At 42.3% G+C, this 20,454-nt stretch overlaps 1 long non-coding RNA gene across 1 annotated transcript in view; it reads left to right on the top strand.

The window, feature by feature from the left end:
* Positions 1 to 20,217, top strand: part of TTTY4C (testis expressed transcript, Y-linked 4C) — a 36,810-nt gene extending 16,593 nt beyond the window's left edge. The window contains exons 2-4 of the long non-coding RNA NR_002177.1: positions 10,579 to 10,654; positions 12,459 to 12,566; positions 19,217 to 20,217. This is a non-coding gene — a long non-coding RNA (testis expressed transcript, Y-linked 4C). The remainder of the gene's footprint in view (positions 1 to 10,578; positions 10,655 to 12,458; positions 12,567 to 19,216) is intronic.
* Positions 20,218 to 20,454: the final 237 nt, after the last annotated feature.

The following is a 20,454-nucleotide window of genomic DNA, read 5'->3' as shown; positions in this document are numbered from 1 at the left end:
TCAACTTCCATAAATTGCTTTTGAAACATGAATGATTAAATCTCTTTCTGGTAATAAAAAAGTTCAAAGAAGACTATAGCAGCCTCAAGTATTTTATAATGTCCTCAGCTTGTACAGAAATTGTTATGATGGAATGCAGCAGAAAGGCATAATTCTGAGTCTCATATGCACACTGATCTGACAGTAAGGAATGTCACCATCTTAAATATATGAAGCCAACTGTCACTCATAAAAACAACTAATGTGTGGTATTGTAAATCTTACCCTGGGAGTTTTCCGCCAGTGTGCTTGTGATTTAATATTTTGTGAATCACCCATATGATTTGACTCTCTGGAAGGGTTTCAGCCCACATATGTTATTGTGGTATCTACCTGGGCCAACCTTGAGGTGATGTGACTCTCCCATCTGGGACCTACTCCCAGTAAAAATCACGAAAAATCACTACCTCCAGCACACAGGTCATGTTATATTTTTGCCTAAGCTATGCCCACAGAAATTATTGTGACATATCACTGTGTCAGCCCTGTAGGTGATGCAACTCTCCTCATTAGATTGGGCTGTGCACAGAGTATGGTATACTCACATATGGCTGCACTAGGGTCACAGATGATGGAACTCCTTTGCTGGGACCTTATCCTAAAAAGGGTATTGTGACAAATCTCTTGGCCTATCCTCTAGGTGATATAACTTGCTGCTTGAGTCCTGCCACATGGAGCATTGTGACATAAGTGTGAAAACTGTAACTATTTGTTGTAACTCTCTCACCCATGTCCTGTCCTAAGGGAGCATTGTGACATATCTCAGGAACCAGCATAAAGGTGAAGTGACTCTTTTGCCTGACTTCTCCTGATATGTTAGATTGTGTTATAAACCTAGGGAAGCACCTAGGTGATATGACTCTTCTCTTCTGCCTCAGCCCTGCCTACTTGAGACATTGGGTCATATATCTGAGCCTGTGTTCTAAGTGATGTGTCTGTTTTCTTCTGCCTGAGCCCTTACCGTGGGATGCTGTGACATATTGCTAAGCCCAATACTTAGATTAAATGACTGTTCTTTTTCCAAATCATGCCAATAAAATAAATTTTGCTGTATTGCAGGGTACAGCACCCAGATGATGTACCTTTTCTGCCTGAGTCCTGCAGAAAGAGATAATTATGGCACATTGCTGGGCCCATCACCCTGAAGATATAACTCTCCTGCTTGTACCAGAGCAACTGAAAGTATTTTTATATATCTTGGGCCCATCCTGTAGGTGTTTTTGCTGTCCTTATTTGTTTGGGCTTGTTTTTCCACATTTGAGATTGTGTCATATTGCTGGGTCCAGCACTCCAGCACCCAGTTAATGTAACCCTCATTTCTAGACCCTGCCTAGAGAGGGTATTGTGACATATTGCTTGCCACAGCATGTAAGTTGTGCTACTTTTCCACTAAGTTTTTTTTTCTACAAATGAGATTATGATACTTACATTGCTTCAACTCAGTGGCATCATGATCAAACATAATTGGCATTCCACCAATAGTAGACTTTTCCCTCTCATAGCTGTGCTTAGGGCAATAGTTACAGTTATGAGATGCATATTTGCACAAAGCTCACAGAAATTTACAACACTAACTCATAGTCTATAAACTTGGGTGGTACACAGAGTTTTATAATAGAGCTCAGCAAAAGATTAAAATTGTGACCCTTGATTACAAATGCAGGTGAGAGAAAAAGTTTTTAGCATCTCATATTTATAAAGCCCACTGTTGAAGTTCTGACTCTAAGAAGTAAATAAAGTACAACGATGGAATTGTGACTCTCATATGTGGATCTTGCTACAGATGAGATGGTGACTCATTTCTGGACCCAGATTATAGGCACCATAATGGGTTTTCTGTCTGAACCCAGCCTATAAGAGAACTGTTGATTATCATAACAGGGTTTACATCAATATGTATGTTTTGGGTCAAACGAGCATGTAGGCTTCAGAGTGGTTTGTAACACTAAGGTATTTTGCATAAAGCCTTCAGATGTTGTAGAGTGTCTCATAAGATGACTGAGAACACACTTGAGATTGTGACTCTTACATACATAACAAACTAACAGTTAAATGTGTCACCTAAAGGATAAATTGATAGTGTCATATGACAAAGCCCAGCACCCCGGTGTTGAGAGTCTTGGCTTAGATTCTTTCCCATGGGTGTATTGTGAAATATTGCTGGGTTAGAATCATAAAAAGGTGACTCTTCTTCACGGATCCAGCCAACAGGGGATATTGTAACATATCTCTGGGCCTATCAGCTAGGTGATATGTCTCTCCTCTCACAGTGTTCTCTCACAGGGGACACCGACATTTTGCTGGATATAGTATCTAGGTAATGTGCTCTCCTCTCCTGCCTGGATCTCACCTACCTAGGAAATTGTGACATACCACTGAGTGCAAAACCTAGGTGGTGTGACTCTCCTCTTTGTGCTGGAATCTGCTATAAGAGGGAATTATAACATATTGCAGAGCCCAGCACCTAGGGAATGTGACTACCCTCTATTTTTTCAACCCTGTATACAATGGTCAAGATGATATATTATTTGAGACTGTACCCAGGAGATATGAGCCTTCTGACTGGATCCTGCCTAAAAAGAAGATATAATGTATTTCTGGCTAAGGACACAGATGATGTGACTTTTCTATCTTGTCTATGTCCAAAGATGAAATTCTAACATATACCTGGATTCAGCTGATATGCACAATAATAACTCATGCATGACCCATCCAAGGGAGATATTGTGAATCTCAGAGCCAGTTTATGGCCATGAGTAAAGTCTCAGATCTCTGTAAAATTAGATGTCTGTAAAAATTCAGACAAATGTATCCTACTCAGGTGTATCATTTAAGGTCTGTGTGGTACAAAGTGTGTCATAACAGGCACCAGCAACCAGGTGTTACACACATCGAATTGTCACAGTTGTCATTTTCACACATGAACAGAGCCTATGAATGAGTTAAAAAATCTCACACACATAAGCAGTTGAAGCTGGAATTTGTTACCGTCATATATGAATCTGATCCACAGATGCTGTGGTGAAATTTACCCATGATTCTCCAGACCAGTGGTGCTTTGACTGTCCTACTGGAACACAACCTTCAATGTGATTGGGGCTGTTACACATGTATCTTGCCCATTGTTGAGATTATGACTTCTTTACTTCGACCCAACTCGTAGGAGGTGTTGACTCTCATACCCGAAGCCAGAAGTTGTGTGGGCCTGTAAAATTTATTTCTGAACATTTTCAAGTGTGTGATTGTGAAGTTTGACTTTGTCCAGCATCTGAGTATTTTGACTCTCCTTTCTAGGCCAAGCCTAGAAATTGTGACATACATGCACCAGCACCTAAGCAATGTATAACAACTTTTTGTCAATGCAACTAGGGGCCCTTTTACATGTTACTGGTACCAGCAACCAGCTGGTGTGAAATGTTGGCCTAAACCCTGCCTACAAAGAGCATTATGGATTTTATCCAGATCCATCATGTAAATAATGTGAGTTCCTTCTACTGCCTTGGCCCTGCAATTATGCTGTATTGTGACACACTGCATTCAGGTGATGTGAGAGTTTTTGAGGGGAGTTCTGCCAATAGAAAGCTATGTAACAAATCACTTGGCTCAGCCCCTAGGTGCTGTTTCTCCTCTCTTGCCTTGACCCTGACCACCAGAGAGACTTTGACATATTGCTTAGCCCAGCACCAAGGTGAGTTCACTCTCCTGTCTTGATCCTGCACACAATGGCCATTGTGACATATATCAAGGCCAATTGCCCATGTGCAGTTTGTCTCCTCTCTTGCCTAAGCCTTGCCAACAGAGAGGATTTAGATATGTCACTGAAGCCAGCATCCAGGTGATTGACTCTTCTCCAAGAGTCCCACCCACAAGGAGAATTGTGAAATTTCACTGGACGTGCACACACTTAAATGATGTGACTTTCCTTACTTTCTTCTCCTTCCCCACAAGTGGTAATGTGCCATATACTTGAGAACAAATAAAAGGTCTAATAATGACTCTTGTACCAGGAACCAGGTCACGTGCAGGATTGTGACTCTCAACACTGAACCTTTTCACAGGTGTTATTCTGACGTTTATTTTTGCCCAGCTCTTGAGTCACTTAATAATCCTGCCTATTTAGAGTCCAGATGTGACATTTTTACATACAATTGGGCCAAAACCTTGGGGATTTGACTTTTGTCTTAACAGTGTTCTCCGAAGGGATCATAACATATCTCTGGACCTATGATCTAGGTTATGCGACTTTCCTCTCCTGACTGCACGCTGATTAAAGCAAAGAGTGTGGCATTTCTAAGCACGCATCCAAATGATATGACCCTTTTTCCTGGGCCATTACAACAGAAGGCATTATGATATATCTCTGCACCCATCATCTAGGTGATATGACTCTCCTCTCCTGCCCGGACACTCTTCACAAGTAACATTACAGCATAGAGCTTGGCATAACACCTAAGTTCTGTTACTTCTCCGTTAGGGCCTTGCATACAAAGAGAATATTGGAATATTTCTGGCTTAGGATTTAGGTGATGTAGTGTCCTGCCTATTTAGTAACCACAGAGGGCATGGTGACATATACCTAGGCACAGCTAACAGGCATGATAATGACTCTCATATGTGGACACAGCCAATAGGAGAAATTTTGACTCTTACAACTAGGTTTAGAGACATGAGTGACATGAAGCATCTCCTACTGTTAACAATGTCACAGAAGATTACAACACTCACACCTTCTTATAACACCTGTAAGTAGTATAGAGAGTGTCATAGCAGGGCCTAGGATAAAGAGGAAATCGTGAGTCTCGTTTGGACACCCAGCTGACTGGAAGGATTTTCACAATCACAGATGTATAAAAGCTACTGTTCTACATGAAAACAAGACACATGTGGCATTATAAGTCTAATCCCTAGAAATTTATTTTATCATGACTGTGATCTAAAACTCTTCCATGCGCTTTTTTGATTTCACTCTTTGGACTGGTTCCAGCCTACACATGGAATTTTGATATCTACCTGGGCCAACATTGAAGTCTTGTGATTCTTCTGCCTGGCCTGCTCTCAGGAAGAATTGTGACATCATTGGATGCAGTACTTAGGTGACGTTACATTCATGCTTGCCCCATGCCCACACACATCCTTGTGACATATTATGTTGTCCATCACTGAGGTGATATAACTTTCCTCTCTGAAACGGGCCCTGCACACAGGGCAGGAGAGTGACATATTCATAAGCCAGGCACACAGGTAATGATACTTTTCTTTGCCAGGGCCATGCACAAAAGATAAGATTATGACATGTTACAGGGCCTATTGTATAGGTGATATGGCTCTCCTGCTTGAAAACTGCCCACTGGAATAGTGACATATTGCTAGACCAGGTGACAAAGGTGATTGTACTCTTTTGCCAAGACCATGGTTTCAGGAAGGTTATGTGACATATATCTGGGCCTATCACCTAGGTGATGTGAATTCCTTCATAGGCTGCCCACATGGAGCATTGTAACATAAGGGTGGAACCTGTTCCTAGGTGATGTAACTCTCTTGCCTAGGTCCTTTTCTAAGGGGGATTTGTGAATATCTCAGGACCCAGGACCAGGTGATGTGATTCTTCAGCCTGGCTTCTTCCCACATACTAAATTGTGACCTATACCTAAAGAAGCACCTAGGTGATACGACTCACTTTTTTTGCCTGAGCCCTGCCTACAAATGACTTTGGGTCATATCATTGAGCCCATGACCTAAGTAATTTGACTCACTTCTTCTGTCTGTAGTTTTACAGTGGGAGAATTGTGATGTATTGAGAAGCCCCGTACTTAGGTTGTGTGACTCTCATGTTCTTGCTAAAGAGTGCCCATGAACAGGGCTTTTGCTGTATATCAGGACCCAACACCCAGATAATATTACTCTTCTGCCTAGCTCATGGATAAAGAGGGAATTGTGGCATATTGCTTGGCCCAGGACCCTAAGAATATGACTCTTCTGTCCATGCCAGGGCCACAGAAGGTATTTTGACATGTCTTTTGCTCATTCTGTAGGTACTTTGGCACTAACCAGTTTGCTGGGTTTCTTCCACGTATTTTTGTGTCACATTGTGGGTTCCAGCCCCCGGTTAATGTGACCCCATTTCTTAGGCTCTGCCTAGGGAGGGCACTATGATATATTGCTTGGCACAACACCTAAATGGTGTTAACCTTCTGCCTAGTTTTTTGCCCACAAATGGGATTATGACATACACTTTGCTTCAGCTCCAAGGCATGATGATCAAGCTTATTGTGGGATTAAGCCAATAGGGGACATTTTACCTTTTACCCCTAGGTTTAGGTCAATAGTTAAGGACCTTCATTTCATATTTGTTCAAAGATCACAGAATTTTACAACATTAACTCATATCCTACATTCACAAAGCTTATTGCTGAAGTCCTGAATTGATCAAGTCAATAGAACCGAAAGTTTGAATTGTGACTCTCATAAGTGAATCTGACTACAGGTGAAATGGTGGATCATTTCTACACCCATCTCACAGGCCTAATAATGGTCTCAACCCTGATGCCAGCCTGTAGGAGACATGTTGCCTGACATACCTCAGTTTAGGGCAATATGTAAGATTATGAGTCCATATAAACATGTAGCCCACAGAAAGTTTTGCAACACTCATGCCTGTTGCGTAAAGTTTTCAGATGTTGTAGAGAGTATCATACAATGGCAAGCACACTTGGGAGATTGTGACTGTCATATACACAACTAGATAACAGTTTATGATGTCATGCTTAAAGATGAGGAGATTATGCCACATCCCTTGGCTTAGTATACCGGTATTGAGACTTTTTGGTTTAAATTCTTTTCCATGAGGTCATTGTTACATATCACTGGATCAGAACCATGACAATGTGACTCTTCTATCTTGGCCCTGCAAAGAGCAGATATTTTCACATATCTCTGCATCTATTGGCTAAGTGACATTTCCCTCCTGCCAGTGCCCTGCCCACAGGGGACACTGTGACATATTGCTACATATAGCATCTAGGTAATGTGACCCTCCTCTCCTGGATGGATCCTGTTGACTGAAGAAATTGTGACATACCACTGAGCACAAAGTCTAGGTGACATGGCTCTCTTCTTTGTTGTGTACTCTGCCAAAAGAGGGAATTATTACATATTATTGAGCCCAGCATGCTCGTGGTCTAATTCTTTTTTTTTTTTTTTTCTTTGAAGATGTCTACATTGGGCATGGTGACATATTACTTGAGGCTATACCCAGGTGATGTGGCTCTTCTTCCTGGTTTCTGCCCACATGTTAGATTGTGACATATAACTAGAGAAGAATATAAGTGATATAACTCTTCTTTTCTACCTGAGCCCTGCATACAGGGGCACCGGGATGTTTCTCTGAGCCCATGACCTAAGTGAAGTGACTCTCTTCTCCTGCCTGGTCTTTACAATGAGAGGATGGTGACATTGGTGACATATGGCTGAGCCCAGCACTCGGGTTATTAGACAAACAAAGATTTTGACCTATTGCAGGGCCAAGCATGCAGATAACATTACTCTTTTGCCTGGGTCCTGCACATATGAGGGATTATGGCATATTTCTGGGCCCAGCACCCTAATAATGTGACTCTCATGGCTGACCCAAAGCCACAGAAGGTATTGTGATATATCCTGGGCCCATTCTGTTGGAATTTTGGCTTTCATTTCTAGGTTGTCTTTTTCCACATATGGGATTTTGTCATATTGCAGTTCCAACACCCAGTTAATGTTACTCTAATCCCTATACCCTTCTTAGAGAGGACATTGTGACATGATGCTTGTCACAGCACCCAAGTGATGTTACCTTCCTGACTCACTTTTTGACCACAAATGGGACTATGTCCTACACCTTACTTCAGTTCACAGGCATGATGGTCAAACTCATGCTGGGATTCAGCCAGTAGGATACATTTTGCCATTCATTACTAGGCTTAGGGAAATAGATGAGGTCCTGGGTTTCATATTTGCATCAAACTCAAAAACTTTACACTAACTCATAATGTATACATTTCTTGGGTTGTAAAGAGAGTTTTATGAAAGAGATCATCAAAAGTTTAGATTAGGACTCTCCGTTAGACACCCAGGTGAAAGCAAATGTCGTCACCATCCCACATGTACAAAGCCCACTATTAAGTTCCTAAGTCTAAAAGTGAATAGAGAACAAAATTGGAGTTGTGATCTTCATATGTTGATCTGGCCTCAAATGGGAGGGTGACTCACTTCTGGATCCAGCTTACAGGCAAAATAAGGGGTCTCATCCCTGAACCTAGCCTACAGAAGATATGTTGACTATCGTATCTGGGTTTATGGCAGTATATAAGATAATGAATCCATACAAGCATGTTGGCCTCAGAGTGGTTTGCAACTCTCACGAATGCTGTATAAAGCCTTTGAAAGTTGTAGAGTGTGATACAATGATCCAGGAAACACATGAGATTGTGTTTCTCATATTCACACCCAGCTCACAGTGAATCATGTCACTCTGAAAGACAAGGAGTTCTGGCATATTACGAAGCCTGTTACCAAGATGTTGAGACTTTTTGGCTTAAATTCCTTCCCATGGATTCACTGTGACATATCACTGGGTTAGAATCATAATAATGTGACTCTTCTGCCTTGACGCTGCCAAGAGGGAATATTATCACATATCTCTGGGTCTATAAGCTAGGTGATTTGTCTCTTCTTTTTGTGCCCTGTCCCCAGGGGACATTGTGAAATATCGGTTTACATAATATTTAGAAAATGTGACTATCCTCTCCTGCCTGGGCCCTGCTCACCATAGAAGTTGTGACATACCGCTGATTGCAAAATCTAGGAGATGTAGCTCTCCTTCATATTCTAGACTCTTCCAAAAGAAGGATTATTACATATTGCCGAGCTCAGCATCTAGGTGGTGGAACACTCCTCTTTTTCTTCTTTCCTGTCTTTAGTGGGCTTGGTGACATACTGTTTGAGGCTGTACCCAGGTGATGTGACTCTTCTGACTAGGCCCAGCCAAAAAATGAGTATATACTGTATCACTGGCTCAGCACTCAGGTGATGTGATGTTACCCTTCTGATTAGCCCCAGACTACAAACAAGATTATACTATATAACTGGCTCAGCACCCAACTGATGTGACTCTCCTGGCATTTTTTCTGCTCACAGATCCAGCTGTGACATGTACCTTGTTTAAGCACACATGCACAATAATAATTCTCATACCTGGACCCATCCAGTAGAGATAACTGACTCTCACAGCCAGTCTCACAGCCATTGGTAAAGTCCTGGGCTTTTCACTTGTATAAATTTCACGAAGGATTATAACACTCAGGTATATCACATAAAGCCTTAATGATACAAAGAGTGTAATAACAGAAAGCAGCAATGAGGTGAGAACACTTGTATGTACACCTAGCTGACACGATTGACATTCTCCCACATGAACAGGGCCTAGGAATGAGGTAATAAATCATGCACATAAAAAGCAGTCAAAGATTGAAATAATTACTCTTATACATGGATCTGATTCACAGGTGGTTTGGTAACATACGAACCATGATTCAACACACCTGTAGTGCTGACTCCCCTACTGGAAAACCATCTTCAAGTGAGATTGGGGCTCTTATACATGAATCTTGCTCGTTGCTGAGATTGTGACTCCTCTGCTTCAACCCAACTCACAGAAAAATTGAATCACTTACACAAAAGAAATACTTGTGTGGGATGTGGAACTTATTTCCAAATCTTTCTGAGAATATAAAAGGGAGAGGTAACTTTGCCTAGCACATGAATCGTCTGACTCTCTTTTCTAATCCCAGACTAGATTTTGCCATATGTGAAACAAGCACCTAAGAAACATATAATAGTTTCCAGAACTCCCACTGCAAAGGTCACTTTTATATATCACTGGGACAATCACCTAAGTGATGTAAATTATCTGCTGAAAACTGCCTACAAGAATTGTGTCTTAAATCTAGGTACATCACATAAGTGTAGTGAGTCCCTTCTACTGTCTTGGCCCTGCACTTACACTGAAATGTGACACATAACTGGGTGCTGCACCCATGTGACATGATTCTCCTTTTTGAGCTCTGCTAACAGGAAGCATTGGAACATATCACTTGGCTCAGCACCTAGGTGATGTTTCTTCATATTTTCTCTGGGCCCTGACCATGGGGAAATTGTGACATATTGCTGCACCCAGCACTAAGTTGTGGTCACTCTACAGCCTTGGTCTTGCACATGAGGGTCATTGTGACATATATCTGCACCAGTTGCCTAGGCTAAGTGGTTCTCCTCTCTTGCCAAAGTTCTGCCCACATAGTGAGTTTTGATATGTCACTGCAAGCAGCATGCAGGTGATGTGGCTTTTCTGCCAGGGTCCTGCCCGCAAAGTGTATTGTGACATTTTACTGGACCCGCACACACATAGCTGATGTGACTTTCTTGGCTACTCTCTGGCCACAGGTTACATTCTTGTCTGCAGCATGCCCACAAAAATTATTGTGACATATTTCTGTGTCCACCTCATAGGTGATGTAACTTTCCTCTCTGGAATGGGCCCTGCTCAAAGAAAAGGTAGTGACATGATTCAAGACTGAGAACACAGGTGAGGCTACTCTTTTGCCAAAGCCATGCCCAAAGGAGAGGATTCTGATGTATCTCTGGTTATGTGGCTCTCCTGCTTGGGTATTGCCAACCTGGAGCGTGACATGTTTCTAGGCCAGGCACACAGGTGATGGTACTCTTTTGCCAGGGCCATGCCTCATAGAGGACTTTGTGACATATCTCTGGCCCTATCACCTAGGTGTAGTCCATTCCTCCTTAGGCACTACCCACATGGAGCATTGTGGCATAGGCAGAGAACCTGCATGTAGGTGACGTAACTCCATTGTCTGGCAGCTGTTCTAAGAGAGCCTTGTGAAATATCTCAGCATGCAGAACCCAAGCTATGTGGCTCTCCTGTCTGTTTTCTGCCCACATGTAACATTGTGATATATTCCTCAGGAAGCACCTAGGTGATATGAATCTCCTTGACTGCCTGAGCCCTGCCTACTGGGGTCATTGGGATATATCTCTGAGCCCATGACCAAAGTCATATGGCTCTCTTGTACCAGGGCCTTTAAAATGGTGGGATTGTGACATGTTTCTGAGCCCAACATTTACATCATGTGACTCTACTCTTTTTTCTGAACCGTGACCGCAAAGAAATTTTGACCTATTGCACTCAGATGATGTTATTTTTCTGCCAGAGTCCTGAATAAAGATAAAATTATTGCAGATGGTCAGCTGAGCACCCTGATGATGGTACTGTCCTATCTGTGCCAGAGCCACAGAGAGTATTTTTGACATGTCTTCGGCTTTTTCTGTAGGAGTTTTGGCTCTTATCCCTTGGCTAATATTTTTCACATGTGGAATTCTGTAATATTGCTGGGCGCAGCACCCAGTTAATGTAACACTCCTTCCTAGGTTCTGCCTAGAGAGGGCATTGTGACATGTCGATTGCCATATCGCCTATGTGATGTTACTCTTTTTCCTAATTTTTTGCCCACAAATGGTATTATGACATATACCTTGCTACAGCTTACAGGTATGATGGTCTCTTATATTAGGATTCAGGCAATAGAAGATATTTTGCCTCTCATCGCTAGGCTTAGGGCAACATGTAAAATTCTGGGTTGGAAATTTCTTCAAAGCTCACAGAAGTTTACAACACAAATTTGTCTTGTATAAACTACTTGGGTGATACAGGGTTTCATAACAAGGCCCAGCAAAGAGTTAAGATTGTGACTGTCAATTACACACCTAGGTGAAAGTAAAAGTCGTCACTATCCCACATTTACAAAGCCCACCGTTGATGTACTGAGTCTAACAAGTGAAAAGAATATAAAGATAAAATTGTGGCTCTCATATATGGATCTGGCCACATGTGCGATTGTGACTCATTTTTGACCAAGCTCACAGACATTCCTGACATCAGCCTAAATAAGAGATGTTGGCTATCATACCTGTGCTTAAGGCAATATATAAGACTGTGATTTCATATAAGCATGTGGGCCTCAGAGTAGTTTGCAACTCTCACGCATGCTATATAAAGCCCTCAGACATTACAGAGGGTGTCATAGCATGGCCCAGCACACACGTGACATTGTGACTCATATACACACCAAGCTAACAGTTAAAGGTGTCACTCTCAAAGATGAGGAGATTGTGTCTTATCGCTGGTCCTAGTACCCAGGTGTTAAAACCTTTGCATAAATTGTTTCCCTTGTTTGCATTGTGATATATCCTGGGTTCAGAATCATAATAATGTGACTGCTCTACCTGGGCCCTGCCAAAAATGTATATTATCACAGATCTCTGAGCCTATCAGCTAGGTAATTTGTCTATTTTGCCCATGCTTTACCCTCAAGGAACATTATGACATATCTTGAAGTAACATCTGGAAGTGTGACGCTCGTCTCCTACCTGGGTCCTGACCGCAGAATGAATTGTGACATACGACGGAGTACAAAACCTAGGTAATGCAACTCTCCTCCTTGTTCCAGAGTCAGCCAAAAGAGGTAATTACTACATATTGCTGAGCTCAGCACCTAGGTGGTGTGACTCTCCTTTTTTTCTTCAAACCTGTCTACAGTGGACATGATGCCGTAGTACTTGATACGGTACCCAGGTGATGTGACTCTTCTGACTTGGCCCTGCCTTTGAAGGAGTTTATAATGTATCCTGAGCTCAGAATCCACCTTGCTTCTGCTCACAGGTTAAATTGTGACATATAACTGGGTTCAGCTCACATGCACAAATAAAATTGTCATACCTAGAACCAGAAAGGAGAGATTTTTTGACTCCTATAGCCAGTCTTATGGCCACAAGTAAAGTACTGGGTCTCCTAATGGTATAAAGTTCACAGAGGATTATGACACTCTGGCATATTATATAAAGCCTGAGTGGTAAAAACAGTGTTATAACAGGGAACAGGAAGGAAGTATCATTGTGACTCTTGAATGCACAGCCAGCTGACCCGGTAGTCATTCTCTCACAAGAACAGGGCCTGCAAATAAGGCATTAAACCTCACAAAGAGAGCAGTCAAAAGTTAAAATTGCTCCTCTTCTATATGGGTAGTTTGGTGATGCACGATTGAGCACATCTGTGAGGCTGTGACTCCTCTGCTGGAACACATTCTTCAAGTGGAATTGGGCATCTTATACATGAAGCTTGCCCACTGTTGAGACTGTGACTCCTCTGCTTTGACCCAACTCACAGGAAGTGTTGACTCACATACAAAAATCCAGAACTTGTGTGGGACTGTGAAACTTATTTCTAAATATTTACTATCATGTGGTCAGGACATAAAAGTTAGCTGATCCCCTGAACAATTTGACGACCAAACACCTAAGTATAGATGCCTGGGTGTGCATACAAAGGGCAATTTTACATATTACAGGGATCAGCACCCATGTGATGTGAAATATTTGCCTTATCCCTGCCTATAAAAGACTTTGTGGCTTATATCTAAGTTCATCATGTAAGTGATGTGACTGCTTTCTACTGCCTTGGCCCTGCACTTATAGTGCATTGTGACACATAACTGGATACTGCACCCAGGTGATGTGACTCTGCATTTTGGGTTCTGCCAACAGAAAGCTTTGTAACATATCACTTAATTCAGCACCTAGGTGATGTTTCTCCTTTCTTGTATCACCCTGACCGAAGGGGAGATTGTAACATTGCTAAACCCAGCACCAGGTGAGATCACTTTTATACCTTGGTTTTGCACATAGCGGCCAGTGTGACATATGTCTAAGCCAATTGCCTAGGTAAAGAGGGTCTCCTCACTTACCTAAGCCCTGCCCACATGGGGGATTTTGATATATCACTGCAACCAGCATCCAAGTGATGTGACACTCTTTCCAAGGCCCTGCTTACAAGAAAGATGACTACATCTCACTGGACCAGCACCCACCCAGGTGATGTGACCTTCCTCCTTGCTCTCTGTTTACAGGTGATATTGTGCCATATACCTGAGACCAGACAAAAGGACTAATCACGACTCTTAAATCTGGACCCAGGTCATATGCAAGATGGTTATTCCCATTCCTGGAACTTTCAACCAGTGTTATTGTTATATATACTTTTGCCTAGCTCCTGAGTGATTTAATAATCCTGCCTAGGTGTAGCCCACAAATGAGATTTGGAAATATACCTCGGGTGATCACCTTGGTGATTTGACTCTCCTGTCTTAACAATATCCTAAGGAAAGATTGTAACATGTCTCTGGACCCACCATCTAGTTACCTGACTCTCCTCTCCTGCCTGGACCCTGCTTCCACTGGGGATTATAGCTTTTCTAAGCACTGCATCTAAATGATATGACTCTCTTGCCTGGTCCTTTCAATGGGACACATTGTGAAATATCTCTGGGCCTATTATTTAGGTGGTATGAGACTCCTCTTCTGTCTAGACACTGCCCACAAGGGGCATTATGCCATACATCTGGGTGTAACACCCAAGTTACAAAACTTTTCTGCAAGGAACTTGTCTACAAGAAAAATAATGGAAAATTTCTGGTTCAGCATTTAGATGACTTAGCTGTCATGCCTATTTCATTACCACAGAGTAAATTGTGACCTATACATAGGCACAACTTACAGGTATAATGACTCTTTTATGTAGACCCCACAAATAAAAATAACTTTGACATTTCTAACTTACTTTAGAAACACGAGTAAATTATCTGGTCGTGGTGGCTCAGGCCTGTAATCCCAGCACTTTGGGAGGGTGATTCAGGTGGATCACAAGGTCAAAAGATCGAGACCATGCTGACCAACATGGTGAAACACCATCTCTGCTAAAACTACAAACAGTAGCTGGGTGTGGTGGTGTGCGACTGGAGTCCAAATTAGTCAGGAGGCTGAGGCAGATGAATTGCTTGAACCCAGGAGGTGGAGGTTGCAGTGAGCAGAGATTGCAGCACTGCACTCCAGCCTGGGTGACAGAGCCAGACTCTGTCTCAACAACAACAAAAACAACAACAAAAACAAGAGTGAATAAATCTCATAAATCTCTTTCTGGTAAAAAAGAAAAAAAAAAGGTCAAAGAAGATTATAACACCCTCAGATATTTTATAATGCCCTTGGCTTGTACAGAGAGTGTAAAAACACTATTCAGCAGAAAGGTGAAATTGTGAGTCTCATATACACACCCAGCTGACAGTAAATACTGTCACTGTCTGAAATATGTGAAGCCAGCTCTCACTCATGAAAACAAGACATGTGTGGTAGTGTAAATCTCATTTCAGGAATTTTCTCCCAGTGTCATTTTGAAAAAACATCCTTGCTGACCATCTGTGTGACTTGACTCTCCAGACTGGTTCCAGCCTGAGGTTGTTATTGTGATTTCTACCTGGTCCAACATCTAGGTGATGTGACTCTCCTGCCTGGGTCCTGCTCTCGGTAAGGGTCATGACATATCACTAGGTCCACCACCCAAGTCATGTTAAATTTTTGCCTGTGCCATTCCCACAGACATCATTGTGACATATCACTGTGTCGTATGTCATACAACCACTTAGGTGATGTAACTCTCCTCATGACAATGGGCCCTGCACACAGTGGGGGATAGTATCATATGGCTGGGTCAGGCACGTAGATGACAGTAATCTTTTATTAGAGCCGTGTCCTAATGAGGGCATTGTGACAAATCTCTGGTACTATCACTTAGGTGATTTTGCTCTCCTGCCTGGGCCCTGCTTACCCTGATAGTGACACATTACTAGGCTAGGCAAACAGGTGATGGTACTCTTTTGCCCGAGCCATGCCTTAAGAAGGATATCGTAACATATCTCTGGCCTATTACCTAGGTGATCTGACTATCTTTTTGAGCCCTGCCCACGTGGAGCATTGTGACATAATGGTACAACCCGCACCTATTTGTTATAACACTCTTGCATGGGTGCTGTCTTAAGGGAGGCTTGTGTGATATATCTCAAGAGCCCACATCAAGGCGATGTGGCTCTTTTGCCAGCTTTCACCTCATATGTTAGATTGTGTTATATACCTAGGGAAGCCCCTATGTGATATGACTCTACCCTTCTGCCTGAGCCCTCCTTACTTGAGACATTGGGTCATATATCTGAGCCTGTGTCTTAAGTGATGTGAATCTTTTCTTCTGCCTGAGTCTTTGCAATGGGGTGATTTGACATACTGCTAAGCCCAATACTTAGGTACTATGACTCTTTTTTCCCCAACCATGCCCAAGAAAAAGATTTTTGAGGTATTGCAGGGCCCAGCACCCAGATAATCTTTCAATTCTACCTGGGTTCTGCATAAAGAGATAATTATGGCATATTGCTGGGCCCCTCACCCTGATGATGTAACGCTCCTTCCTGTGCCAGAGCAACATAAAGTATTTTTACATATTATAGACCCATTCAGTAGGAGTTTTTGGTGTCATCATTTGTCTGGGTTCTTTTTTTTTTCCACATTTGGGATTGTGTCATATTGCTGGGTCCAGCCCCCATTTAATGGATCCCTCACTTCTATATCATGCCTAGAGAGGGCATTGTGACATATTGCTTGACACAGCACCTAAATTGTGCTACCCTCCTGCCAAGTTTTTTTTTCTACAAATGGGATTTTGAAATTTACCTTGCTTCATTTCAAAGGCATAATAATCAAACTTATATTGGGATTGCACCAATAGTAGACACTTTGCCTCTCATTGCTACACTTAGGGCAATAGGTAAGGTTATAAGTTGCATATTTGCATAAAGCTCACATATGACAACACTAATTCAAATTCTGTAAACTTTTTGGCTGGTACACAGAGTTTTATAACAGGGCCTAGCAAAAGGTTAAGATCGTGACTCTTGATTACACATGTCATGCAGGAGAGAGATGAAGATTTCATTATCCCACATTTAAAAAGACCACTGTTGAAGTCCTCAGTCTAACAAGTAAATAAAGTACAAAGATGGAATTGGGACTTTCATATGTGTGTGTTGCTACAGTTGAGATGGTGATTCAGTTCTGGACTCAGATCACAGACATAATAATGGGTCTCCTGTCTGAACCCAGCCTATAAGAGAGATGTTGTCTATCATAACTGAATTTAAAGCAATACATAAGATTGTGAGTCAACAGGAGCATGTAGGCCTCAGAATGGATTGCAAATCTCATGCATGTTACATAAAGCCTTTGAATATTGTAGAATGTGTCACACAATGACCCAGAACACGTTACATTGTGACACTTACATACATACCAGTAAAAAGTGTCACCCAAAAAGATAAGGAGATTGTGTCATATCACTATGCCTGGTAACCCTAGGTGTTGAGATTAGTGGCTTAAATTCTTGACCATAGGTGGATTTTGAAATATCGCCGGGTTAGGATCATAATAATGTGTACTCTTGTTCTTGGACCTAGCAAACAGGAAATATTATCACATATCTCTAGTCCTGTTTGCTAGGTGATGTGTCTCTCCTGCCAGTGTCTTGCCCACAGGGAACACTATGACATACCACTAGATATAGCATCAAGGTAATGTGACTCACCTCTTCTGCCTGGATCCTGCCCACTGATGAAATTGTGACATACCCCTGAGTGCAAAACACAGGTGATGTGACTCTCCCCTTTGTCCTGGACTCTGTTAAGAGCAGCGATTATATCATATTGCTGAGCCCAGCACGTAGAGGATGTAACTATCCACTATTTTTTCAACCCTGTATGCAGTTGTCAAGATGACATATTATTTGAGATTGTACCCAGTGATATGACCCATGTCACTGGCTCCTTACCACAGAGGAGATTATAGTGTATCCATGGCTCAGTATGCAAATGATGTGACTCTTATGCCTTGTTTCTGTCCAAAGGGAAAATTGTGATACATACCAGAAATCAGCACACTTGCACAATAATAACTCTCATACATGAACCCAGCCAGGGGGAATATTTTAACTCTCATAGTCTGTCTTACAGCCACGGATAAATTCCAAATCTCCCACCTATAAGAAATCACAGAAAAGTAGCCTAGTCAGGCATATCATATAAATCCTGAGTGGTACAAAGGGTGTCATAACAGGCACCAGTGACCACGTGCTATTGTGACTCTTGGACGCACACCCAGCTGGCATGTTTGTTATAAACAGGGCCTATGAATGATTTACTAAATCTCCCTCCCATAAGCAGCTGAAGCTAGAAATTGTTACCTTATATATGAATCAGATCCATAGGTGGTTTGGCGATGTTTGAACCACAACTCAGCAGACCTTTGGTGATTTGACTCTTATCCTGACACACAATCTTCAAGTGGGATTGGGGCTCTTATACATGCATCTTGCCCATTGTTGATATTGTGACTCCTGTACTTTGACCCAGTCATAGGAGATGTTGAGTCTCATGCATGAAGCTCAGACTTGTGTGGGACTGTGAAACTGATTTCTGAACACTTTTTAGTGTGTGAATGAGAAGTGTGACTTTGCCCAGCATCTGAGTGTTTTGACTCTGCTTTCTAGGCCCAGAGCAGAGTTGAAATTGTGACATACATGCAACAAGCAACATATAACACCTTTAGCAACGTGACAGGGGGCACTTTTACATGACACTGAAACCAGCATTCAGCTGATGTAAAATCTTGGCCTGAGCCCTGCCTGCAGACAGCACTGTGGCTTTTTTCTAGGTCCATCACATAAGTGATATGACTTCTTTCTACTGCCTTGGCACTGCACTTATGGTGCATTGTGACACATAACTGGGTACTGCACTCAGGTAATGTGACTCATTTTCCTGTGGCGCTCTGCCAATAGGAAGCTTTGTAACATAACACTTGGTTCAGCACCTCAGTGATGTTTCTTCTCTCTTGCCTGAGCTCTAACCACTAGAGAGATTATGAAATGTTGCTGAACCCAGCACCAAAGTGAGGACACGCTCCTGCCTTGGTCCTGCACATAGGGGCTATTGTGACATATCTCCAGACCAATTGCTTAGGTGAATTTTGTCTCCTTTCCAGCCTAAGCTCTGTCCTTAGGGTGGATTTTCATATATCACTTAAACCAGCATCCAGGTGACGTGACTCTTTTCCAGGAGTCTTGCCCACAAGGAGGATTGTGACATTTCACTGGACCAGCACCCACTGAAGTGATGTGACTTTCCTTTCTTCTCCTTGCCCACAGGTGAAATTATGCCATATACCTGAGACAGATCAAAGGAATAATAACAACTTTATACCTGGAGCCAGGATGTGCAGAATGGTGACTCTCATTCCTGAACATTTCCACCAGTGCTATTGTGACATACACCTTGGTCCAGCTCCTCAGTGATTTAATAATCCTGCCTAATTATAGCCTGCATATGACATTTTGACATATACCTGGACCTAGAACCTTGGTGATTTGACTCTCCTGTTGTAGAGGGTCCTCAGAAAAAACTATAACATATCTATGGGCCCATCATCTAGGTAATGTGATGTTCCCCATTTGTCTGAACCTCCTTTCAGTGAAGAGTGTGGCATTTCTAAACACTGCATCCAAATGACATGACTCTCTTGCCTGGGCCATTTCAACAGGAGGCCTTGTGACATATCTCTGAGCCCATCATTTTGGTGATATGACTCTCCTCACCTGCCTGGACATTGTCCACAAGAGGCATTATGCGATAGAGCTGGGACTGGCACCAAAGTTTTCTGACTTTTCGGTTAGTGCCCTGCTGACAAAGAGAACGTTGTAATACTTCTGGCTTAGAATGTAGGTGATGTGTTTGTTCTATCTCTTTTATAACCAAAGACGGGATGGTGACATATAACTAGGCACAGCTAATAGGCATGATAATGACTCTCTTATGTGGACCCAGCCAATAGAAGAAATGTTGCCTCTTATAACTAGGTTTAGGGACATGAGTGATGTAGAATCTCCTTCTGGTAAAAAGGTCACAGAAGATTGCAACACTCACACATATTTTTTAACACCCTTGTGTTGAATAGAGGGTGTCACAAAGCACCTAGCACACAGAATAAATTGTGAGTATTGTATGCACACCCAGCTGACAGCAAGGAATTTCACCATCACAGGTGGATGAAGGCATCTGTCCTACATGAAAACAGGACATGTGTGGTATTCTAAATCTAATCCCCAGAATTTTATTTCTTCAAGACTGTGATATAAATCTTTGCCAGTTACCGGTGTGATTTCACTCTTCAGACTGGTTCAAGCCTACATATGGCATTTTGATATTTACCTGGGCCAACCTTGACATGATGTTACACTTCTGCCTGGGCCCTGCTCTCAGTAAGAATTGTAACATCACTGGATCCAGCATCCAGGTGATGTTACATTCTTGCCTGTACCATGACACACACGTTATTGTGACATATTACTGTGTCCATCACTTAAAAGAAGTAACTCTCCTCTCTAGA

The sequence above is a fragment of the Homo sapiens genome, chromosome Y (genome assembly GCF_000001405.40).
Source record: "Homo sapiens chromosome Y, GRCh38.p14 Primary Assembly".
Lineage (NCBI taxonomy): Eukaryota > Metazoa > Chordata > Mammalia > Primates > Hominidae > Homo > Homo sapiens.
This window is presented reverse-complemented; position numbering and strand designations above follow the sequence as displayed.